Below are 26,090 nucleotides of genomic sequence, written 5' to 3' on the forward strand. Positions count from 1 at the left end.
CTTCTAAAACGCCATGGTTCATTCTTGTCAAATAACACACTCTCCTTGTTTTTCTTTTATTTTAAAAGAAAATTGGCCCTGAAACACCATCCAGACAAGAATCCAGATGATCCAGCTGCTACTGAGAAGTTTAAAGAAATCAACAACGCCCACGCAATACTTACCGACATTTCAAAGAGAAGCATATACGACAAGTACGGATCGCTGGGACTCTACGTGGCCGAGCAGTTTGGAGACGAAAACGTTAACACCTACTTCATGCTGTCGAGCTGGTGGGCAAAGGTGAAACTGAATTTCCTTTCTTCACAATCTCCTGTAAGACCATGATATTAATCACTCTTTTAGATTCCATCTCAAAGGAAGTCTAACCTTCCTGCTATTAAACTCTGGTAAATAAAAGGAGATATTGCTTCCACTGAATGCTATTATTTAGGATCATTTCTGGTTTAGCTCATCAAATAATTGTAAGATACAACATGATTTAAAATACTTCTAGACATTAATTATATTTGAATTTGGAGCTTCAGATTAATTCTTTATAATGACTAAGTAAGGACTGACTCATTGCTCAAAACCAAAAATAATTTATTAGTGTGACAACTGCTTAATAAATTATTACGGGGCAAATTTAGCCATGTCCTTTTCTATCTATAGCATAGGCTACATCAGCAAACACAATACTGGGAAGAATGAGTGGTAATTATGTCAGAGACTCACTTGGAGCCTGCTGTGAGGTAGAGGAGAAGGAAATTAGGGGGAAAAGGTGAGAATTTACTAGTGGAGGACAGGGAATTGGAGAGGCAGAGATGGGGACAGAGAGCAAAATGGATACCTAGTCAAGAAAAGGGCGACATTTTTAAGGGCTTAGTGCAATCAGAATTGACTTTCGTGTGGTAAATTTTGTTTGGTTTCCTAGGAATCTCTAGTATATATATGTTTGGTGATGGTTTTTATTTGTTTGTGAATATTAATATCCTTATCTTCTGATAAAACTATGTTTACACATGGGTCATACATGTAGTCCATCAACATATTTTGTGGACGGTTCACATTCATATAAGTTCCAATACATAATAATAATTATTAAATATCTAAAAAGGCAGGTTTACTAGTAGTATCTGTTTGCTATTTTCTTCCACTAAATCTTGCTAAATTGAGTTTTATGTATGCAGGAAGACAGAGAATATGTTTTTGTACATCAGCATGCAAAAGGATTCTTGCAACCTAGCCTAATTTGCTTACTATAGTCCTCAGAGTTCTGTTTCTCAGGGATACCTGGGATTCCCCTTTGAAACCCCTTTCTCTGTTGTTGAAGACTTAGGGGAGAGACAAGTTCCTGTTGAGCAGATTTGGAATTTGGAATGAGAGTGTACACACCGACAATGTCATTTATGACAATAGATTGAACGTTCATAGGACAGTACAAGCTTTTGTGGGTTTGCGTGGGAACCCAACCTCTGGGCGTGACACTCTTTCCATGGGAAGATACTGCAGAGGCAGGTCCAGATAATTACACACATCCACCTGATGGCACCTCAGGGCCTGCCTGCATAAAAATGAGAATAAACTTCCTTGCTTTGGAAGCTGACAAAATTGATCAAAATTCACATGGACAAGCAGAATCTGCCCAGTAGTGTGAGAGATATGCAAAATAATTCCTGGTGTGGTTCTTTAAACATAAGACCACAGAAAAACATATCTTTTCCTTCTCCTTGTGCCAAAGCCCAATTTCACGGCACCCATCAGAATGGCCCTGCACGTAGCAATCATGTGATAAATATGCACTACATGAATGAATCAGTGTACCACAAAGATACATACTTATAAAAATATTGGACACCTACCTGTGCCTAGTACTGTACTAAGCACTGTAAGGGATAAAGCAAGTCTATTTCCACAGAAGGCAAACAATCAAGTTGGAATAAAGAACAAAACATTATATGAATGAAAAGAAAAAGTTCAGAGAAGAGAATAATATGGGAATTGCATGGTAAAAACAAAAAGGACAAAAATAGCTTAAAAAAGGGAGGAGTTTCTTGGGGCAATGGCTCAAGAACACTGCACAGGAGGCTGTGGAGACTGTTAGTGAGGTGGCGGGTGTTGTAGTTGTTTACAGAGTAATTTACCTAAGACTACGAAAATGTAAATTTTCCATAGCAAAGAGATTATATGTTTGAGGATGTGACTGAAGCTCCCCTACTCCAAGCCACCAGAGGCTCCACCTCAAACCTGGGGCCAGAATCAGAGATGAAGCCCAGGTCTATGAAGCAGGAGTGGGGCAGGTGAGGGCTGTCAACATTAAAGATTTCTACCTGAAGTTATTGAAGAAATACACAGGCACACAAGTCCTCTTTGTCCCTCTTGCTCCCTTAATTAGATAAAATCTGTGTTTCAATTAAAGGTGTATAAACCTCTTTCTTTCTATTTCAAATTACATATTTTTGATAAAATCTTAAATTGATTTTGCTCAATTCACAAAAACTGACTTTTTATAACTTCACATTGGAGGAGTTGAGAGTTTCTTTTAGTTTTTAGCTATAACAAACAGCGAGCAAACCTTTCATGTTTTTGGGGAAATCCTGCTGCTGTTCACCAGGTGGAGCAAATCATTTGTTTATTTATTACTTTATACAATCATTAATTCAGCTGGTATTTTATAAGCATCTAACACATACCAGGTACTAAGTCCTTCAGTAGGAGGAACTGAAAGATGACTAGCTGACAGTGCCAGCTTGCAGGAAGCTCACAGTCTAGTCCAAACTGATCAATGTTCTAAAAGTATCACTTAAAAAAAGCACCAAAGTAGAAGTCTGCATGAAATGCAACTGGGGACAAAGGAGGGAGTCATTGTTTTGGGCAGGATCAGGAAAGATGTCATAGAAGGGATCTTTAAGATGAGTCTTACACACCAGGTGGATATTTTGTTAGGTGACTGGGGAACTGGGAGGTGGACGTCCAGACAGATGAATCCACAGGGAGAGCAGAGTTATAAGGCAATGAAAGGCAAGAACAGGGCTGTGCTGGTGCAGGGAGGCATTGGCAGAGCCAGATCACCATAATAAGGATCTTGGCTGTATCTCAGAGGCAGGAGCGCCATCACATGGGTTCAAGAGAACATGTATTTCAGAAAGTTCACTCTATCAGCAATGCGCAGCATGGATTTGAGGGAGGCCAGAGGGGAGGCAGGGAGGCCAGTTGCGAGGCTGCTGAAGTGTCCAGACTAGACATAGTGAAGGTCTGTTCTGAAGCCCTGCTGGCCAGGATAGAGGCATGAGGGAGGATGCAAGAGACTTGAGGAGAGACGCTATCCAGGACTTGGTGACCAGCAGGAATGTGAGTGTAGGAGGGGGAGGTATCGGACAGTTCATTCTTTATCATTCTGGTGAGAATGATTCAGCTCCCCTGGGCAGGGGGCTTGCTAACTCATTTCACCTGCAGAGGTTTTGTTGGTTGGTTTTTTGGTTTTTGTCTTGCTTTGCTCTGCTCTTAGTAATGATCACCATATAGCTTAAGAATAAAAAAAGGAAGGCCATACTTTATTACTTTGGCTACAAGTCATTTCCTCTGAGTCTAATTTACTAGGCAAAACTTTACCAGGAAATTGGTTTCTAAGGAAGTGAAATAGTTCTTATGTGGAGTAAGGATGAGGGTGAAGATGTGGCCTGTGGGGTGAACTGTGAAGTGTTCAGGTCTCTGGGGGTACCTGGGTACAGACTTGATTTCATGGGTTCTCCCCTCACCCCATCACCCCTCATCCTCATTTTGCTTTACCTCTGTTTCCCTAGGCCCTGTTTGTCATCGTTGGCCTCTTGACGGGCTGCTACTTTTGCTGCTGCCTGTGCTGCTGCTGCAACTGCTGCTGTGGACACTGCCGGCCCGAGTCATCAGTGCCAGAAGAGGACTTCTATGTGTCCCCAGAGGATCTGGAGGAGCAGATCAAGTCTGACATGGAAAAAGGTGGGGTAGGATGAGAGCAGAGGTAGTGAGTGTCCATTCATAGGCCTGAGCAAGCACCAGGTCCCACGGGGACAGCTATCACTATAGTAGGAGAGCTCCCACAACCAAATGGGTGGAACTTCACAGACTGTCAGCTTTGGTACAGCTTCTGGGGAGAATGAAAAGATAGATACCTTTACCAGGCATAGAGAAAAGCAGTGCCTGATGCCGTTAGAAAGAAAATCATGAAATATGCTGATGATGAATCAAAGGAAATACAATTCAGGTCTCATTACAAGAGAGTGAGCACTGGATTCAGGGAGGATTGGGTGAGAATGCTCAGGGCAGGAGAACCAAGGTAGAAATTTTTTCACAGAAAAAGTATTTCAGCCGGTTCCTTTAAGATCTCCTTTGAAATAGAAGAAAGTGGGCATCAAAAAAAGTCACCAACCCTTGACTTTGCTTCTTTTTAATGACTTGATTATGAATTTGGGTGAACTAGGAGAGAGAAGTCCTTCTTTACCTGAAATATAGCTTCTTTCAGGAGTAGCCTCAAACCAGCATCAAGGATGGGACTATTTGCGTTGCTAACCCACCTCCGTGTGTCCATGTGTATGCATGACTGTGATGTAGTACTTGATTCTTCAAGTTCATGCTATCCAAAAATGAAAAAATTTTAAAAATGTAAAGAAAGATGAGATCTCACAGGATTCACAGCACCAGGAATACTTTACGTCCTCTGGGAAATGCCTTTGTTTAAAGAAGCTGGGGTCAGACCTGCCATTGTCCTGCTCCACCTTACAGCCAAGATCCTCCTGTCATTCTCTCCCATTATTCTCTCTCATAGTTATCCTGGAGTACAGACTTTATCACTGAATCCCCAAAAAACCTAGACAGCCAAATAAAAGAATTACTTGATAATTCAGACAGTGGCCCATTTTTGTCAGAACTGCTAAAATTAGGAACAGTGTACTTTTCTGGACTGTATTGTACTCTGATTCTTTTGATCATACTGAAAAGGAAATTCCAGGTTGTCAAGCACTGGAGACTAGTTAAAGGCTTCCACACACCTTTTATTCCCTATGAAATGCAGTGTTAAGTAATATCCAGGTATTACCCACCCTGACTCCAGCTCAGAGGAAGGGGTCTTCAATCATGTAAATTGTACAGATTCCCAGACTCTTTCAGGCTTGGGAGCTTAGAGAGGACAGAAGGAGTTTTCTTGAAACCTGGGACCCCTTGCTGTGGGGACCTGTAGGTGGCCAATCCAGCAAACAGAGGGGTTGTTCTGACCATTTTTTATTACTGACCTTGAAGCCAAATTGTGGGCCCATGGTGAAACAGAATTATAACTTTATTTTCCTTTATTCAAGATGTAAAAGGACAAATTAATCTTTTAATGGGGTCATTTATACCAAGAAGACCAAGCAAGCAGGATTACAAGTAAATGGGTTAAGGAGTAATGTATGCATGGAAACTCCTTTTCTTCAGGAAAAGGTCCGTGACATTGACACAACTTGCCTGAGAATGACAATCCTAGCATCTGAATCCTATCTGCTCTTGTAAAGGAGAGAAACTGTTACAAGATTATGTCAGGGGTTGCTGGCCCCATAGACCATAGGATCTCCCATAACATCCATCAGCCCAGCCCAGTACTCAGTCACTGACAGGACCAGAAGAGACAGCAAGATAGGAGAGTATCTTCAACATCCTCCACTGGGTCAACCTAACTGAACTTTTCCTTTACAGTGGGAAAACCAAACCTAGGTATCCCCTAGGATACCTAGGTTCAATCTAGGATTGAACCTAGATATCCCCAATCCAGTGTTTCACACTTCTCTGAACAGCCTCACAGTCTTTCCTGTTTTAAATTAGATAAAAGCTTCACCAGGTCATTTCAGTAGACCTTCTTTGTGGAAGATTTCTTTTCTGGAACAGAAATCCATACTAGGTGCCAGATTCCACCCAGGTTTCCTCCCTGCTGGGTGATTGGTGATGAATCTACATGTCTCTCACTGTTCTCAGCTCTGACACCCCAGAGCTATCAATTCCATCACAGAGGTCAGATCCTGGATGAAGTAAACCACGATCCTGTTTGACTATGTTAAGAATTCTTAACCAAAAGGAAAAGCTTTATCTTGTTTCTAAATATTTAGCAGCTCCTATGCAGGGATCCAGATTTTGTGGGACTTGAAATTTACACAATTTGGGCAAACCTCTTTAAGAAAAAGAACACAAAATTGATCTGAAAGTGAATATATATTTAGAATGAGAAAAAGAAATCACAACAAATTGCAAGGCTTAAATACTTAACAATACCATAAATTTCACAAAATCTAGAAAAATCGCAATTGTTTAATTAACTGTCTGGCACAGCTCTGCAACACGCTTCCCCTGAGGCTTTGTGGCTGCACATCCATTGATTGCTTCTTCATATTAATATAGCAATAATTTTGTAATATTTTCTTTTCTTTTCTTTTTTTTTTTTTTTTTTTTTTTTGAGATGAAGTCTCTCTCTCTGTTGCCCAGGCTGGAGTGCAGTGGCACGATCTCGGCTCACTGCAACCGCCGCCTCCCGGGTTCAAGCAATTCTCCTGCCTCAGCCTCCCGAGTAGATGGGACTACAGGCATGTGCCACCACACCCGGCTAATTTTTTGTATTTTTAGTAGAGATTGGGTTTCACCGTATTAGCCAGGATGGTCTTGATCTCCTGACCTTGTGATCCTCCTGCCTTGGCCTCCCAAAGTGTTAGGATTACAGGTGTGAGCCACCACACCTGGCCATTTTGAAATATTTTCTATGAAAAAAATAGAAAAATCTGCCTTTCCTCTAGCATGTTTGATCAAAAAGTTTTATTACTGGTAAATTAGAAAAGTTTATTTCAGCTTTACAACTCATTATTGATAATGTTGTCTACATTTTTAGGGATTGTTGTCAAATTCAGGAAAACACCTATTTAGTTTATTTCATATAGAAGATATAAGATTTGGAGGAATTTTCCACAGAACACCTTTGATTTGTACATTTCAAACCTTGTTGTCCTTACTCCAACCAGTACTCCCAGCATTAGAGCCCAATGGACACATTCACATTTTGTAACATCACCTCTGGTTTAGATTTTCATGTCCCCTCAGCAAGTGAATTGGCACAGTGAGCTGTAGGAATCTACCTAAAGTCATTTCTACACTCGTGGGGCTACAATAATTAACAAACAGAGTTGCTGCAAACCACAAAAACGTATCCCACTAAATTAAACTGAAACCTATCCCTAACTCTTTATCCCCTTAATCAAATCCCCAAAATGTCTACAGTCCCTCTGCTGCCACTCATCAGACAGAGAAATGTGATGGAAGGAAAGTCAAAGTGGAAAGAGATGTTTTTGTTGATTGTGGCCAAAATATCTGTCTTTTGCAAATAACACAAAATGTGAACACATCGTTAGGGCCCCAACAGGCCCTTGGAAGGCACAGGTGAGGGTCCCTGAGCTGAAGTTTCATTAACTGTGCAGTAAATCCAGCACTGCTCTTGGATCTACCCTCTCCTTATAAGGAACTATGCCTTATTTGCAGTTAGTTGTATTAGTTAGATTCACGTTTATACTCCACTAATCCAGAGCTCAGGCTGGTTAAGGATGAAAATCAGACTTCATCTGAAGACTAAGCTTTCTGGACTGTGGTCCAATAAATGGACTGGACTTGCATCTGCTCTGCAAAAGAAGGGGACTCACTTAAGGTTCTTTAAGAAAATACACTTGAAAGAGTCTACTAGCCACTTAAAAATCAAGTGACTCAAGACAAAGAATAAACAGCAATCATCAAGGTTTGAATCCATTAGAAGGCACTGGTATGACACTGGGGCTTTAAGAATCTTATTTTAATGATTCTGAAGTTTAATTCAAAAATGGCAAACTGTTTATCACTTGGGGAATCCTTCATTCTTAGGTAGGATCTAATAAAAAAAATCTTAGGATTTTAGACTTGGGAGGAATCTGAGGAATCAACCCTCACCTCTGCATGGCTTTTCTAGGCAGCTGCTCAGTTGAAAGCCGCCTGTGGTGGGGAGGTTTAGGACTTTGTTTATAAGTAAGAGATGCCCATAAAAATTCAGCCACCAAAGGAGGGCATAGAGTCTAACATAACTCTACAGTCCACCCTCAGGCACCACTCAAGGATACCAAAACACAATTACATTTATACAGTTTTTGTGTAAACTTTTTTGTGTTTTACAAAAATGTGGTATCCACATGTTATTATGCCCTTTTCCTGCATCTTTGCAGAGGAAAATTTTGATGAAATCATATTTATCAGTTGTTTTTTAAGTTGATTGTGCTTTTGTGGTGTTATGTTGAGAACTCAGACTAACTTTATGTCATAAAGACTTTCTCCAATGTTTTCTAAAAGTTTCTGAGTTTTATGTTTAACATTTAGATTTATGACGCATTTTGAGTTAACTTTCATATAAGGTGTGAGGTTTAGGTTCAGACTCTTTTTTTTTTCTTCTTGAATATGGAATCTAATTGTTCTAAGACCATTTGTTGAAAATGTTCTCTGTATCCTCTACATGGTCTCTACTATGTATCCTTTCTTCATTGAATTGTCTTTCCATCTTTGCCAAAAATCAATTGGCCAGGGCCGGGCACAGTGGCTTACATCTGTAATCCCAGCAATTTGGGAGGCGGAGGCTGGTGGATCGCTTGAGGCCAGGAGTTCAAGACCAGCCTGGCCAACACAGTGAAACCCTGTCTCTACTAAAAATACAATAATTAGCTGGGCATGGTGGCAGGTGCCTGTAATCCCAGCGACTCAGGAGGCTGAGGCACGAGAATTGCTTGAACCCGGGAGGCAGAGGTTGCAGTGAGCAGAGGTCGTGCCACTGCACTCCAGCCTGGGTGATAGAGCAAGACTCCATCTCAAAAAAATAAAAATAAAAATAAATCCGGGAGGCTGAGGCAGGAGAATTGTGTGAACCCGGGAGGTGGAGCTTGCAGTGAGCGGAGATTGCACCACTGCACTCTAGCCTGGGTGACAGAGCGAGACTCCATCTCAAAAAATATATATATATATATCAATTGGCCATATTTCTATGAACCTATTCCTATACTCTCTAGTCTGTCCCATTGATCTATGTGTCTATCTCTTCATCAATTCCACACTGTCTTGCTCTCTTGTAGCTTTAAAGTAAGCCTTAAAATCAGGTAGTGTGATTCTTCCAACTTTATTTTTTTTTACAAAATTGTTTTGGCTCTTCTAGTATCTTTGCTTTTCCATATAAATTTTAGAATCAAGTTGTCTATATCTACAGAAAAATCCTGCTGGGATTTTTATTGGAATTGCATTAAATTTGTAGATCAGCTTGGAAAGAATTGACATCTTTACTATGTTGAATATTCCAATCCATCAACAATATGTATCTCTACTTATCCACGTCTCATTTGATTTCTTTCATGAACATTTTGTAGTTTTTGGCATACAAAGCTGGTAATGTCTTGTTAAATGGGTACCTAAGTATTTCATTTTGGAGAGAGCTATTGTAAGTGGCATTGGTTTTAATTTTGCTTGCAGTTGTTCATTGCAAGTATTTACAATTTCTTTTTATATTGCCTTTGTATCCCATGTCTTTGCTAAACTCATTTAACAGTTTGGATTTTTGTGTGTGTGTAAATTCCTTGGGATTTTCTATGCAGACAATTATATCATCTACAAATAGAAACAGTTTTATTTCTTCCATTCCAATCTGTATTCCTTTTGTTTCTTTTTCTTGCCTTGTTGCACTGTCTAAGATTTCTAGCACTTGGTTTGCTGCTGTGCTGTCACTGTCTTAAAATTCTTAATTTTTGAATAAGGTACCTCACATTTTCATTTTGAACTGGGTTTGGCAAGTTATATAGCCACTACTGAGGATATTTCCTTGTGTGTACTATAAATCAGGATTTCAAGTTTGATGACTTTTGCCAACAGAAATTTTTCTTTGAAGGAACTATTAGCTACCTTTACATTTACATTAAAAAATCTACATTATATAAAGATGTTTAAAAGAACAGAGGAGCCAACCCTCACTGGCAAGGAAGAAGACAAAATGCCTCCAGAGCATAATACTCTGGTTTTAGGGAAGGGGAAAACTAATTAAGATGAGACAAGGTGGGATGGGGAAGACTAAGTGGAGCCAGGGCTTTATATTAATTACCCATCTAAATTCTATGTTACAGATTATTATATTGTACTTGGAGATTTGACCAGCATATGAAGATTACCACAGGAAATTAATTTTTCATACATGAGCACTAATTTTAAGGAAATATGGTTAGCAGTTCTTTCTTCTATTATTCTCCCCATCTTTTATCCAGAAATGTCAAGATGCAAAGTATAGTAAAACTGATATGGGGCAATCTTTACTCCAGAATAAAAGTAATAGCTACTTAACACTTTGTCTTCTTATACCTTACTATACTAAAAAATAAGAGAAAGGAACAGGGATTAACTAGGGAAATACATTTATGATTTGAATTCAGTTACTGTATTAGTCTGTTTTCACACTGTTATAAAGATACAACCAGAGTATGGGTAATTTATAAGCAAAAGAGGTTTAATTGACTCACAGTTCCTCATGGCTGAGGAGGCCTCAGGAAACTTACAATCATGGCAGAAGGTGAAAAAGAAGCAAGCACCTTCTTCATAAGGTGACAGGTGAGAGAGAGTGAGCAAAGGGGAAGTTCCACACTTTTAAACTTTCAGATCTCATGAGAATTCACTCACTATTGTGAGAATGGGATGAGGGAAACCAGCCCCATAATCCAGTCACCTTCCACCAGGTCCGTCCCTCAACTCATGGAGATTACAATTTGAGATAAAATTTGATAGGGACGCAGAGCCAAACCATATCATTCTGCCCCTGGCCCATCCCAAACCTCATGTCCTTTTCACATTTCGAAACCAATCATGCCTTCCCAATAGTCCCCAAAAGTCTTAACTCATTCCAGCATCAACTCAAAAGTCCAAGTCCAAAGTCTCATCTGAGACAAGGCACATCCCTTCTACCTATGAGCCTGTAAAATCAAAAGCAAGTTAGTTACTTCCAAGATACAATGGAGGTACAGGCGTTGGGTAAATGTTCCCATTCCAAATGGGAGAAACTGGTCAAAACAAAGGGACCACAGGCCCCAGACAAGTCTGAAACCTGGCTGGGCAGTCATTAAATCTTGAAGCTCCAAAATCTCCTTTGATTTTATGTCTCATATCTAGGGCATGTTGATGCAAGAGGTGGGCCCTCACAGCCTTGGGCAGCTCTGGCCCTGTGGCTCTGCAGGGTACAGCCCCTGCAGCTGCCTTTCCCAGCTGGCATTGAGTGCCTGTGGCTTTTCCAGGTTCTTGGTGCAAGCTATTGATGGATCTACCTTTCTAGGATCTGGAGGATGGTAGCCTTCTTCTCACAGCTCCACTAGGCAGTGCCCCAGTAGGGACTGTGTGTGGGGGCTCCAAACCCATATTTCCCTTCTGCATTGCCCCAGCAGAGGCTCTCCATGAGGGCTTTACCCCTGCAGTAGACTTCTGCCTGGACATCCAGGCATTTCCATACATCCTCTGAAATCTAGGTGGAGGATCCCAAAGTTGAGCTCTGGTCTTCTGCACACCAGGAGGCCCAATACCACGTGGAAGCCACCAAGATTTGAGGCACCCTCTGAAGCAATAGCCTTAGCTGTACCTTGGCCCCTTCCAGCCTCATCTGGAGCTGGAGTGGCTGGGATGCAGGGCACCAAGTCTTGAAGCTGCACAGAGCAGTGGGGCCCTGGCCCTGGCCCAAGAAACCATTTTTTTTTCTCCTAGGCCTCCAGGCTTGTGATGGGAGGTCCTTCTGTGAAGGTCTGTACATGCCCTGGAGACAGTTTCCCCATCATCTTGGCTATTAACATTCAGCTTCTCGTTACTTATGCAAATTTCTGCAGCAGGCTTGAATTCCTCCCCAGAAAATGGATTTTTCTTTTCTACCATATAGTCAGGTTGCAAATCCAAACCTTATGCTCTGCTTGCCTTTTAAACATAAATTCCAATTTCAAACCATCTCTTTGTGAACACATATAACTGAAGGCTTTCAGAATCAGCCAGATCACCTCTTGAATGCTTTGCTGCTTAGAAATTTCTTCCACCAGATACCCTAAATCATCTCTTTCGAGTTCAAGGTTCCATAGATCTCTAGGGCAGGGGCAAAATGCTGTCAGTCTCTGCATGAGTGACCTTTGCTTCAGTTCCCAACAAGTTCCTCATCTCCGTCTGAGACCACCTCAGCCTGGACTTCATTGTTCATATCACTATCAGCATTTTGGTCAAAGCCATTCAACAAGTCTCTAGACAGTTCCAAACTTTCCCACATCTTCCTGTCTTCTTCAGAGCCCTCCAAACTGTTCCAACCTCTGACTGTTACCCAGTTCCAAAGTCACTTCCATATTTTCAGGTTATCTTTATAGCAGTACCCCACTCTGCCTGTACCAATTTTCTGTATTAGTCTGTTATCACTCTGCTATAAAGATACCACCTGAGACTGGGTAATTTATAAACAAAAGAGGTTTAATTGACTTCACAGTTCTGCATGGCTGGGGAGGCCTCAGGAAATTTACAGTCATGGAGGAAGGTGAAGGAGAAGCAAGCACCTTCTTCACAAGGCGACAGGAGACAGAGGAGTGAGTGAAAGGGAAGTGCCTCACTTTTAACCTAATCAGATCTTGTAATAACTCACTATCAAGAGAACAGCATGGGGGAAACCGTCTCTATGATCCAATCACCTCCCTTGACATGTAGGGATTACTATTCAAGATGAGATTTGTGTGGGAACACAGAGCCAAACCATATCAGTGACCAAACACCACAAATTTCACTTTTGAGTACATGTTATAGGACATTATAACTATTTCTTAATTTATGAAATCCAAATTTGAAATATCAAATCCTTTCTTAACTGTTGACTTATAAAAACTATTAGAAATATTTTTCACCTGCCTTAAGATACTTTTAACAATTCTAATTATGTATCTAAGACTTTTTCTTGCATATTTATTATTATGTGCATATTCAAACATGCCTACTCCTTGACTCTAGCTAAAGTCTAAGATACCTTTTGATGATACAAAATTGTATCAATCTTTGTTCAATAGTGGTGGTACAGGGTGGGATTTGGTAGCAGAAGGGAGAGATTTGTTTGGGTTTTTATGTCCCTTTAAACTATATCGGAAAGTATAATCCAGCTTCTACCTTTAAGAAATAAAGGGGGGAAGTTCAAACAGTGGCATCTTCAGTATTCACTGGCAACTACAGAACTTATAAGCAGATTCCTATGTCTTTCTTAAAATAGAAATATACTCCCAATGAGATCCCAGGAACACAGAGGCATTCTATTGTTCTTATGAATCAATCAAGATCAAATGGAAGATAGATAGTGTCTTGGGGGAACCCTTCCCCAGTTTTGTTGTCTTTGAAAATTTGAAACCTTAAAGGTAAAAGGTAATAGGTACCAACTTATTTCCCTTACTTTCATATGTTCACAAATTAGGAGTTCTACATTGTGAAATTTGGGGTGGTATATTTTTAAAAAGCTCACTTAGACCCTATACTCCTCTAGCAGTTGAAGGCCACAATGAAATCAGAATTCCACTATGAGGGCTTTACAGACCATCTTGAGAGAGAGCCTTGTTTCATGGGACAATGTATGTGTATGTAGTGTGTGTGCGTGCAGGCATGTGTGTGTGTGTGTGTGTGTGTGTGTGTGGTAGAGAGAGAGAGAGAGAGAAGGTATGGAAGCAAGAGCCCAAATCGGAACCAGTTACCTCTGAACACCCTGGCAAAGCAAACCCAAAATATAAGATCTAAATTCAGTTTGGTTTTTCCAAGCTGAAGGCAGTAGAATGACATCCAACCAAAATTTCCAGCTAAACCCTAAAACAAACAAACAAACAAAAAAACTGTGGAGTCATGATTTCCCCAATTTTTTTTAAAGGAGGGAGAATAAAAGAGAAAGTGTTTTATATTATTGACCTTGGATCTAAAAATGTGAGATTCGGTGCATAGAAAAATCTGTTGACTGCTTAACTGTTCTTGCCACTCACCTGGATAAAACCCAAATACATTCACAACCACACAACCACTGAGATGAAGAGGCCATATGGCTTGTAATTAGACTCTCACTTTCGGCCAAGATATTGAGACATTTATTACATTTGCTATTTAGTATTCATCACATCTTACTGCCCAGGAAAAAGGCACCAAGGAAGAGATTAAATTCATCCTTCCCCTTTTTGCCACTCACCACTCAAGCTTCATCCTACCCCTTTCCCCCAGTCAAAAGGAATCAATTTCTAAAAATAATACATGGAAAACAATGCTTGCAACTAGTCAAGAATGCTTTGCTTCTTCTTTATATGAAAATATCAAGCAAGCACCATCAAGCTCTTGGGCCAGAGCAGTAAGACAGGCTTGTCAGCTCTGAATGCTCCCCCAAAAAGCAGCTCAAAGTGAACCCAAGATTTCTTTGATTTTTGGCCATCTAGGTTCAGTGAGCAAACTTACTGGTCAGGTTTATTGAGATAGTCTTTCAATAGCAAACATTTGCTGAGCACTTAGTATTTGCCTGATGCCATGCCAGGGGCTAGAGGAAATGAAGACATAGTTCCTGGTACTTTGGACCTTACAAACTAGAAGGGGAGAAGGGAAGACAAATATTAAGTAAATAATCACATGAAGAACTAGTTAATTTACAGGTACAATAAGCCTGCCAAAGGAGAAGCACAGGGGCTGTGAAAGTGAGCACTTGGGGCCTCACCTGCGTGCAGGTTGAGGACACTTTCCCACGAAGTGACATTTAAAGCAGAAGACTTTAAGAAGGAGGAGGAGTTGAGGGGTAGGGGATTCTGGGGATGGTGCACTCTAGAAGGGACCAATCTTAGTACAAGCAAAGAATTGTCACAGCCTCTCCCCATATTCTTGTGGATAAGATGGTGAATGGAGCTTTGCATGCCAGGCAAGGCAGGTAGAGTCATATTGGGCTGTTCTATTGAATAGTTTTATCAAGTAATCGAATGAAGCAGAAGTTGTGCAATGACTATTTTTCAAAGAAACCCAAACTGAGATATGCTTAGACAAAGGTTCAAACCATCAAAATGAAACATGATAAGTGGAAGTAGCTGGAATCCCCATCCCCAATGTACTAGAGAAGTGCAAGAGTGGTAGGATTACCTAGGAAAGGGGAAAAAGGACTTGAGAGACTCCATGGTGAAAAATGCAAAAATATAGAGGGGAGGTGAAATATTATTCAGCCGTAAAAAGGAATGAGGTACTGATACATGTGGATGCTACAATATGGATGAACCTGGGAAGATCATGCTAGATGGAAGAAATCAGACACAAAAGGACAAACATTGTATGATTCCATTTATATGAAATATTCAGAATAGGTAAATCCAAAGAGGCGGGAAGTAGATTGGTGGTTGCCAGGGCCTGTGGGGCAGGAAGAATAGGGAGCAACTGTTTAATGGGGACTGGGTTCCCTTTTGGGGAGATAAAAATGTTTTGCAATTAGACAAAGTGTGAGTCATACATTAACTGTATATGTACTCAATGCCACTGAATTGTTCACTTTAAAGTGGTTGGTTTTAAGTTATGTGAATCTCATCTCAATTTTCAAAATATATAGTAGGGGAGAGGGTAGACCAAGATTTGACTAGAAAAAGAAACTGAACACCCTTCCTTCAGAAAAGGAGAGTCCTTTGTTCTCTGCAAATTCACGCAGCACAACGAGTGGAGGAAATCACAGGCCTAAGCCAGGCATTAACATCCACGAAAAGGGACAGGGCAAAGGTGACTCAGCCTATTACACCAGCTACCTTGAGGGCAGTCTACGCCAGGAGCTAGGACAGAGGGCTGTGGAGTCAGACAATCCTGGCTCAGGCCTCAGCTCTCTAAGATACTGGTTGAGGTTCTCGGGGTAATTCGCCTAACTCCTTTATCTGTTATTGTTTTTCTCAAATATTAAATGATACAAATAAGTATGACCTGAGTTTCTACCTCAGAAAAAGAATGTTACCATCACCTTTAGAGCTCCTTGTTTGCTCTTCCCTCCTCAGACGTAATGATCTTAAATCATGTGTAACCAGTTCTTACTATTCTTTTTAGTATTACAACTATATTTATAATCTTAATGGCATATTGCTTGGTTTTCCCTATTTTTGAACTTAAATGAATAGATTTATATGCAATAATTATCTTTCTTCATCTTTATTTTTACTGTGTAATATTTCTTTTTTAAAAAAATAGTTTCAACTTTTATTTTAGATTCGTGGGTACATGTGCAGGGTTGTTACATGGGTATATTGTGTGACGCTGAAGTGTGGGGTACAGATCCTGTCACCCAGGTAGTGAGCATAGTACCCAATAGTTACTTTTTCAACCCATGTCTGCTTCTCCCCTTCCCACTCTAGCAGCCCGCAGTGTCTGTTATTCCCATTTTATGTCTGTGTGTGCTCCATTCAGCGTTGTCCTTCTGAGATTCATTCACATTGTGACTGTCATTCATGTATTTTCACTGTTGTATAATATTTTGGGAGAACATCCCATAATTTACTTATCCATTCTACTGCTAATGGACATTTGAGTACTGTCCACTTTTTGCCATTACAAACGGTGCTGTTATGAATGTTCTTGCATGTATTTTCTGGTGCATGAATGCTAGAGTTTTTCTAGGTATATACGGAGGATGCAATTACTTAGTCAAAGGATATGCACTTGTACAACTTATTAGGTAACATCAAGCAGTTCTGCAAAATCATTGCACTAATTTACATTCCCACTAACCGGTAACGAGAGTTCCTGTTGCCCCACACCCTTGCCTCCACTTGACATCCCCTGATGGTAAATGTGTGACAATCTAGTAGGTGGGAAATGGTGTGTCATTGTGGTTCTAATTTTTATCTCCTTGATTAAAGTTGAACATCTTTTCATATGTTCATTGCTCATTTGGGTTTCCCCTTCTATGAAATGCCCTTTCAGATCTTTTGCAGGTTTTAAAATTATATCATCTGCCTTTTCCTTACTGATTTTTAAAATATTCTGGGTATTGATTCTTCATTGATTATGTTTATTTAAAACATATTCTCCCAGTTTGTGATTTGGTGTTTTACTCTTTATGGCATTTTTTGATGAATCAAAGTTCTTGATTTTAATGTAGACAGACTTTCAGTCTTTGCCTTTACGTTTAGTGATTTTTGTGGTTTGATTAAGAAATCCTGTGCTACCTCAAACATATAAAGATGTTCTCCTATATAGATTTTCAAAGTTTTATAGTTTTGCCTTTTCACATATAAGAGTTTAATCACCTGGAATTGATTTTTACATGTAGTATGATGTGGGACTCCAATTTCATTTTTTTTCCAGATAGAAAACAAATTGTTTCAGCACACTGATTTCTAATTTTGGTTTTGATAAACATTAAGTTTCAATAGATATATGGAGCAGTTTCTGGGCTTTCTGTTCTAGTCCGTTGGTCTTTTTTTTTATGCAATACCAAGCCCATTTATCACAATCCCTAATATCTGTTTAAGCAAATCCTCCTCACTTGTACTTCAGGTGAGTCATATATCCTTAGCATTTTGCTTTCTTATATAAATCTCAAAATCAGGTTTTTGTCAAGTTATTTAACAAGAATTCCCTAAGCAAAACTTTTTAGGATCTTGGTTAGAATTGCAGTGAATCTACAGATCAACAGGTAGAATTGACACCTTTAAGAATCTGAGTCTTTTAATATGTGACATGGTATATTTCACCATTTATTAGCTTTCACTAAGGATGTATTTTCTATATCTTTATTACATTTATTTTTGAATACTTTACCATTTTTCTTACTACCAATCAATTATATATGTATTTTCCTACTTGTTTTCTGGCATATAGAAATGTACTTTTAAAAACATTGATTTTTGAATCCAAGAAACTAGGTAAACTCTCTTGCTAATTTTAATTATTTACCTGTAAATTCTTTAGGGTTTCTACTTAACTGTTTGTCTCATCTGTGAGTACTGACAGTTTTGATTCTTCCCCTCCATCTCTTATCATTTTTTATTTTTTTTAAACCGCACCAAGTATGTGAACCCAGTTTTTGTTTTGCCTTTCTGTGTTTGCCAAGACTACTAGTAAAATGTTGAAGAGAAGGTACTTTCAGGGTTGCATCATAATTAGTAGGTTTGCCGTAGGTTTTTGATCAGGTTAAGAAAATTGTCTTCTATTCCTATTTTGTTAGACCTTCATATTTGATCACGGATGTAAAATTTTTTCAAATATTTTTTCTTCATCAGAGATGGTCATGATTTTTCTCCTTTGATCTGTTAATGTGATGAATTATGTGAATTGGTTTTCCAATATTAAAACAACTTTGCACTCCTTAGATAATTAAATTCAGCATAGTCTTCATGTATTGACTATTGTATTATTTGATGAAATGAGCTGGTCAATATTTTGTTTTAGATGTTTGTGACAATATTAATGAGAGTGGTCTATAATTTCCCTTTCTCAAACTTTCCTTACTGTATTTTGTATCAAGATTATGCCTCATGAAATAAATTACGAAGTATTCCTTTGTTTTTTACTTCTCTTGGAGAGTTTGTGTAATACTGGGATTCTTTCTACAGGATTCTGAAGAACTTTCTGGGCTAGCATGTAACTGTGCAAATTTTAAACTATTGATTTAATTTACTTAATGTTTATAGACCAGTTAGGTTTCCCTTCTTTTTTATTTACAAAAAGAAAAAATGGTTTCTTCAAGATTTCCTCTTATCCTTCATACATCTATAGTATCTGCATGATTATTCTGTTTTTTATTCTTTACATTGGTCATTTCTGCTTTCTCTCTCTCTCTCTTTTTTTTAACCATTCTCACCAGATGTCTTACAATATTATCAGTCTTCTCAAATAAACAACTTTTGGTTTTGTTGATTGTTTCTACTTAATTTCTTTCTTTCTTTCTTATTTCTCAGTTTATTTTGTTCATTTTCTAACTTCTTAATTTTTGTACTTCTTAATTTTCAGCCCTTCCTCTGTTCTTACATTAAAAATTTAAGACTATAAATTTTGAATTTTCTTATAAGTTATACTTTAGCTTGACACACACACACACACACACACACACACACACACACATACAATGTTCTTATATTGTTCTCATCATCTGAGTTCTAAATATTTTCTGATTTCTATTATGATTTTTTCTTTAAGCTAGGCCTGTGTATATCTTAATTTTCAATCTTGGGATTTCGAGGTTACTTTTTGTTGTTTGTATCTAACTTGACTGCTCTGTGATCAGAAAATGTCAACACTATGATACCAGTGCTTTGAAATGTCTTAGGACTTGCTGTACAGCCTGGAACTTAGCCAGTTTTTATAAATGTTCCACATTGCTTCAAAACAACACATTCTGCATTTGTTATGTTCATTGTTCCATATATGTCTATTGAATAAAGCTAATTTATTGTATATATTAGTTTGCTAAGGCAGCCATAACAAAGTACTACAAACTGGGGGTTTAAACAACAGAAATTTATTCTCTCACAGTTCTGGAGGTCAGAAGTCAGAGATCAAGGTAGCAGGGTTGGTTTCTTCTGACACCCCTCTTCTTGTTTTGTAGCTGTTCATCTCCCTATGATTTCACATGGTGTTTCCTCTGTGTCCAAATCTCTTCTTGTAAGGACACCAGTCCTGTTGGATTAGGGCCCACTCTAGTGACTTCCTTCTAACTTAATTACCTCTTTAAAGACCCTATCTCCAAATATGATCACATTGTAAGGTACTAGGAATTAGGACTTCAACATACGAATTTTGGGGAGACACAATTCTGTCCATAACATAGTCCTTTTCAAATTCTACATAAGATTTCCTTGCTTGATTTCATGAGTTAGGTGCTGAAAGCAGTCAAATTTTCCACAGTGATGATGAATTTTTCTATTTCTCTATAAAGTTCTTTCGATTTTTGATTTATGATTTTGATTTTGAGGTTATGTTATTAGTATATATAAGTTTAGAATATTTACAGCTACTTGGTGAATTAAACATTTTATTATTATGGAGTCACTTCTAGCCCCAGAAATGCTTTTGTCTTATATCTTATTTTGTCCATTAAAATATACTTACATTAGCTTTCTTCCCACTAGTGTTTGTGTGGTAAATATGTTTTCATCATTTTAGTCTCTATTTTTATCCTTATTTTTAAATGTAGCTTGGGTTTTTAAAATTCAGTCTGACAATATTTTTCTTTTAAATAGAGTACTATATCCATTGGTATTTATTATCTTCAATATAATGTACTTTGATCTTTTTCTACTAACCTACTTTTCGTGAGAGGCAATAGAGAAATAGTCTTGAAGAGAACAGACCTCTGAGAAACACTGCCTTGGTTTGAATATCAGCTCTATTGCTCACTACCCGTGTAACCTTGGCCTAGTTACACAGTCTGTGCCCATTTTCTTATTTGTAAAATGGTTATAATAACAACCCTACCTCATAGCATTATTATAACTATTGAGTGAGTTAATATACATAAAGTGCTAAGAACACTGCTGGACATGTAATAAGATATATACATATACCTACTTTCTGGTAATTTTTTTATCATTATATTTATCACTTTAAGTTGACATGTTTTTCCTGTTTCTTTTTTTTTTTTTCTTTTAAATTGTCAGAGTGTCTTTTCTTATTTGATTTCCTTCTGTCCTCTGATTTGGAAATTATATTCTCTTTTCTGTTCTTTTGGAATTACCCTGAAAATTTATCAAATGTACTTAATTTGTCAAAGTTTAAAGTCAATTCTTATCTTTACCCTCCTCTTGAACAATACAAGAATTTTGTAACACGTTAACCCTGATCAACCTATTTCTGACTTATACATTATTTTTATATTTTAGATTTTTCTCAATTTTAAGCCTCGTAAATTTTTATTATTGCTTTGTATATTCAATAATTATTTGGTTTTACTGACATATTTTCTGGGTTTTTTTTTCAATTATTTTCTTTTTACAGCTCAATTCTTTCATCTGATAACTGTTTCTGCCTGAATTATATCTCTAAATTGGGTCTGCAGTTAGAAAAATTTGTTTTTACTGACTGAAAATATCTTTATCATGCTCTTTTAAAAAAGAAATGTAACTTATTAAGAGGGTTTGTCAAAAAATATAGGTTGATGTCTTCTTTCAGTATATTGGAGACATAGTTTCAATATGTTTTAGCTTCACAGTTTTTTTAGCTCCATAGTTTTAGCTTCCATATTTGCTATTGAGAAGTAAGATTGCTTTTAATATCCTTGTCTTTTCTTTTTTTTTGAGACGGAGTTTCGCTCTTGTCACCCAGGCTGGAGTGCAGTGGCACAATCTTGGCTCACTGCAACCTCCACCTCCTGGGTTCAAGCGATTCTCCTGCCCCAGCCTCCCAAATAGCTGGGCTTACAGGCACCTGCCACCAGGCCTGGCTAATCTTTTTCTGTACTTTTAGTAGAGACGGGGTTTCACCACATTGGCCAGGCTGGTTTTGAACTCCTGACCTCAGGTGATCTGCCTGCCTCGGCCTCCCAAAGTGCTGGGATTACAGGCGTGAGCCACTGCACCCAGCCCAAAATCTTTATCTTTTGTTCTGCAATGTGACTAAGATGTTTTAAATATGATTTTTTTGTTTTTCTTTGAGACAGAGTCTCACTCTGTCACCAGGCTGGAGTGCAGTGGCGTGATCTTAGCTCATTGCAACCTCTGCCTCCTGGGTTCAAGCAATTCTCCTTGCCTCAGCCTCCTGAATACTGGGACCACAGGTGTGTGCCACCACGCCCAGCTAATTTTTGGATTTTCAGTAGAGACAGAGTTTCACCATGTTGGCCAGGATGGTCTTGATCTCCTGACCTCATGATCCACCTGCTTCGGCCTCCAAAAGTGCTGGGATTACAGGAGTAAGCCACTGCACTCTTTAATTTATCCTGGCTTGTTCTTGGATCTATGGATTGGTGTATTTCATCAATTCTAGAATAGGCTCAGCCATCAAATCTTCAAATATTGTCTCTCTTTTTTTTTTCTTTCTGAAAGTTATGTTAGATATGTTAGACCTTATAATTCTATCCATCATGTCCTTTGACCTCTTTTATATTTTCTCTTTGTCTCTCTTAAATTTTGGATAATCTCTTCCAATCTGTCTTCTACTTCACTAATTCTTTCTTTAGCTGTTAAGCCAATTCATGAAGGTTTTTTCCATGTTTTAATCTCCAGAAATTCTGTTTAAAATTTTTATGATCTATTATTTTACTTAATTTATTTAATTACTTTTAAAACATAATTCTTTTGTATTCTGTGTCTGATAAAAGCAGTTATTGAAGTCTTTCTGGGTCTGATTTAGCCTTCTGCTGTTTATATTGGATCTTAGCATGCATTGTTTCCATATGTAATCTCTGTCTCTCTGTCTGTCTCTCTCTGTCTCTCTCTCTCTCTCTAATTCTCTGTCTCTCTCTCTGTCACACACACACACACACACACACACACAACTTCTATTTCTCTACCTCTAATAGTTTTTATTATGAGCTCATGTTTCTTGCAATTTTATAATGATATTTTGAGGCCTAGGTTGAAGGTGAGGTCATTCACTTTTGCTAAGTGCTTGAGAGCACATCTTGCACTGGACCTCTTTAAACTAAATTATCATCTTGAGGTTTCTCAGAACACAGAGGTATTGAAAACTTGGTCTGCCAACTTGTGTATTCATTGGCTTGCCATTGAACATTTTTGGGGCAGCTTTCTCAACTCAGCACCCAAATCAAAGGCTAACAAATCTCTCTGTAGATTTAGGAGTAGATTTAGTGATTTTAGAGAAAGCATAACCATTTTGGGCACTAGCTTTATGTGAGGAGATTTCTATTAGACTCTCCCTCTAAGCAAACTCTCAGTTTTGACTCCTGTCCCAACAAGGGCCAGTCATCCAATTGTACACTACATAATGCCAGGGTGCATCTTTCATATAAACTATACCTTTCCTGTAGATATACGTTGTAGTCTATATGAAAGGTGCCCTTTGATAATGTTCAGTTTCCAATCTGCACAACTGTATATGATGGTTCTGTCTGTATTCCCACAAGATGGTGAAAACTAAAGTTCAAGTTCACCAGGTTCAGCAAGTGCCCTCCAGGTGAAAGCTGGGTTTGGTGCTTTGGTTTTATAATTCCATAACTGACAAAATTTGAATAGAGTAAAGACAGTGCCTCCTCCCTTTCGAAGTCCTTAAAATGGTAGGTATATTGATATCTTATGAATTGAGTTGATTTGCCAGTCATGAATTCAACAAAAATACCTATCACTTGCTTCATTAAAAGAACTGTAACATGATGAGAGTGTTTATTGCTTTGCTTTGTTTATTTTTAGATGTGGACTTTCCAGTTTTTCTCCAGCCTACAAATGCAAATGAGAAAACACAGCTAATCAAAGAAGGATCTCGAAGTTATTGCACAGACTCTTGATATTGAGCCCTCAGAGAGTCCACAGTCCCTCCTCTCAGTTCAGTCTTGTCTCCAGATGGTCGTAGGGGAGCGTGTGGGGCATAAAGTGCTGTGAACTTTTCCATCTTGTTGTTTTATTTTTGGGTTAGGAAAACATGATTGCTATATAATTTTCTCAGTATGCAGACTTTCTCTCTGAGTAGAATTTCTTATGAAACACATTCAATTTGGGTGAATAAAGGCCTGAAGAGTTATTTTACCCTCCTTGCCTGATGTAGGACAGTGGAATTGTACAGCCTTTATGAACCTGCCCTTTATGTGTGGCAGATCTGATTCCTAACTGACCAAAGTAATATTCCAGAACAAAAGCCACTTTTCTTACATTTAACACAATATTCATATCTACCACGAACATGATCATCAAAATATATGAGAACTTATAAAGAGTTTTTGTGTGTGGAGCCTCTTCCGTGTCAATATTCAATAAAGTTATAGAAATGTTTCAAGAGCCAGAAAGGGATGATTTTTTTTTAAATCACATTTTTAAGGTATATTTTTGGAACATTAAAAATTGGCATTTACTGAAAACTGGAAACCAGGAAGAAACAGGTTTTGTGTGTACTTTTAGATTGGCTTAAAAACAAAACAAAACAAAACTTCAACCTGGTTAAATGTTGTAAGTGAACCAGAAAATCATTCTGAGCCTGAACCCGCCCCATCAGCATGTTGATCATTTTCTAGTAAAATAATTTTTGTATAACTGGCTCAGATTAGCCAGACTAAGGGAAAAAAAACAGATGAAGGGGTAGAACTCTATACTCTAGAGCCTAAATTTACACCAAAACATGTATCACCTCATTTTTGTTAAAATTAGTTGCCTTGACCAGAAATTGCTCAGCTCTGTGCATGTTACACAATTTAAGCCCAGAGGTCATCTCTGCATTTGCTTGTTTGATTCTTGTATTTATTATGTGGTAGAAACCATGTGCTATTTCTAAAATACTATGGCAGAAAAAGTGTTCGTTTTTCTAGCTCTTTCTTACTTTTTTATATAATATTGCATTTTCAAGATCTTGTTATGTTTTTATATAATATTGTATAAAATGCCTTTATCTTTTTTCTTGTTTCTTATTCCCACCCAAAAAATTATAGTTAATTGCTGCTAAATATATATTGTAAGTGAGAATTAGTGTTATAGCTCTGATAGTTCTGAGGTCATTAAAATTCCACTCTAACTCTTTAGTTACTGAAATTCTTTTTCTAGGCAATCAAGTAGACAGAGCCTTGGTTTGAAAGCTAAGAAACCTGGTTCTAATCTAAGCTTTCATTAACTAGCCTTGTGACCAAGTGAGATGAAAATAACATGGCTAATCTCTCTATGGCTCTGTTTTCATATCTGCCCTGACCACCTTCCAAGTTGCTGGATGACCAGATAAAATGGCTGAAGTGAAAGAAATCTGAAAAGTCAAATGTTCAACAAATGTAAGGTGGTTTTAAATGAATTTGTATATGTTGACGCACACAGACAAATGTACTATGACTCTTGATGCATATAAACTCTCTCACCCAACAAGACCCATGGAGACACCCAGTATTAACAGCTCCAGTAACCAGCAAGTGCTTGGAACGCTGTATTCAACAAACAAATGCTACTTTCCATTTGGAGGAAACAATAGGATAAATAGCGCAATCTGTGGATAATTTGAGCCATTCCATTTCCTTCCTGTGGCCTTTTTAAGCAAAAGGTCAGGTCTATTTTGAAAAGCAACTTACAAATTACAAAGCTCACCTTCTCTTTCTTGCCCAGACCTCATTTTCCTTTCTCACATGGAATTTTTTGCTTCCACTCCTAGTTCCCCAGGAAGCTGGTCCAAGAGTGGTTAAGATGAGAACAGGACATGGATCAGAATCAGAATCAGATGGTAGAATCAAATTGCTAGAGGGGTTCTGGCCAATGTTCCTCACAAAGGGCTAGTTTCTGGTTACAATGATGTGTGACAAATGCAAACACTTGAATACCTATGAATGAGGGAATGAATTCTGCAGAATACTCCTTCAGCTACAGAGATACAAGAATCCACTCTTCATCAGAGGAGGAGCTGCTGAAGTATATTGTGGGGGTCTACAGAAGTGCTATCCAAGAAGCACTGGCAGTCATTCTGAACCCACAAGAAGTCTTCCCTTAGCAGGGAAGCTTCAAGGCAAGAAGAGAAATGCTGAGCGTGAGCCTCATCAGTGGTCACACAGAGTCCAATGAACAGCCCGTGTCAACAGCTCACCACCTCTCCTGGGCACTGTGCTACTGGAATAGGAGACTTCTTAAAAAGTTCCATGAGTCATCCATTTATTTTTTTGCTGTCTTACAGTAGAACATAATAAAAAAATACATGTGCATTTTTCTTTACCAAAACACACACACACACACATATATATCTCAATTCTTTTAGAATAAGCGACATTCTATATCTAGAATGAAAAAACTGTCTATACATTAATTAACTTATTATTATTATTTTTTTGAGACAGAGTCTCACTGCAATCTCTGCCTCCTGGGTTCAAGCAATTCTTGTGCCTCAGTCTCCCGAGTAGCTGAGACTACAGTCACGTGCCACCACACCCAGCTAATTTTTGTATTTTTAGTAGAGACAGGGTTTCACCATGTTGGCCAGGC

The 26,090-nt window shown here is 38.4% G+C and overlaps 1 protein-coding gene across 4 annotated transcripts in view; it reads left to right on the forward strand.

The window, feature by feature from the left end:
- DNAJC5B (DnaJ heat shock protein family (Hsp40) member C5 beta) overlaps positions 1-24,654 on the forward strand; it is an 86,268-nt gene extending 61,614 nt beyond the window's left edge. For 3 of the 4 annotated variants that reach the window (NR_146171.2, NM_001349432.2, NM_033105.6), the window contains 3 exons: positions 69-282; positions 3,786-3,957; positions 23,346-24,654. Coding sequence is in view for 3 of the 4 variants with exons in the window: in NM_001349432.2 (NP_001336361.1) it covers positions 69-282; positions 3,786-3,957; positions 23,346-23,440 (481 nt within the window). In the remaining variant the exon portion in view is untranslated. Of the gene's footprint in view, positions 1-68; positions 283-3,785; positions 3,958-10,142; positions 10,357-23,345 lie in introns of those variants that run through there. The other variant, XM_011517620.3, reaches the window with a different exon arrangement.

This window comes from Homo sapiens, chromosome 8 (genome assembly GCF_000001405.40).
Source record: "Homo sapiens chromosome 8, GRCh38.p14 Primary Assembly".
Taxonomy (NCBI): domain Eukaryota; kingdom Metazoa; phylum Chordata; class Mammalia; order Primates; family Hominidae; genus Homo; species Homo sapiens.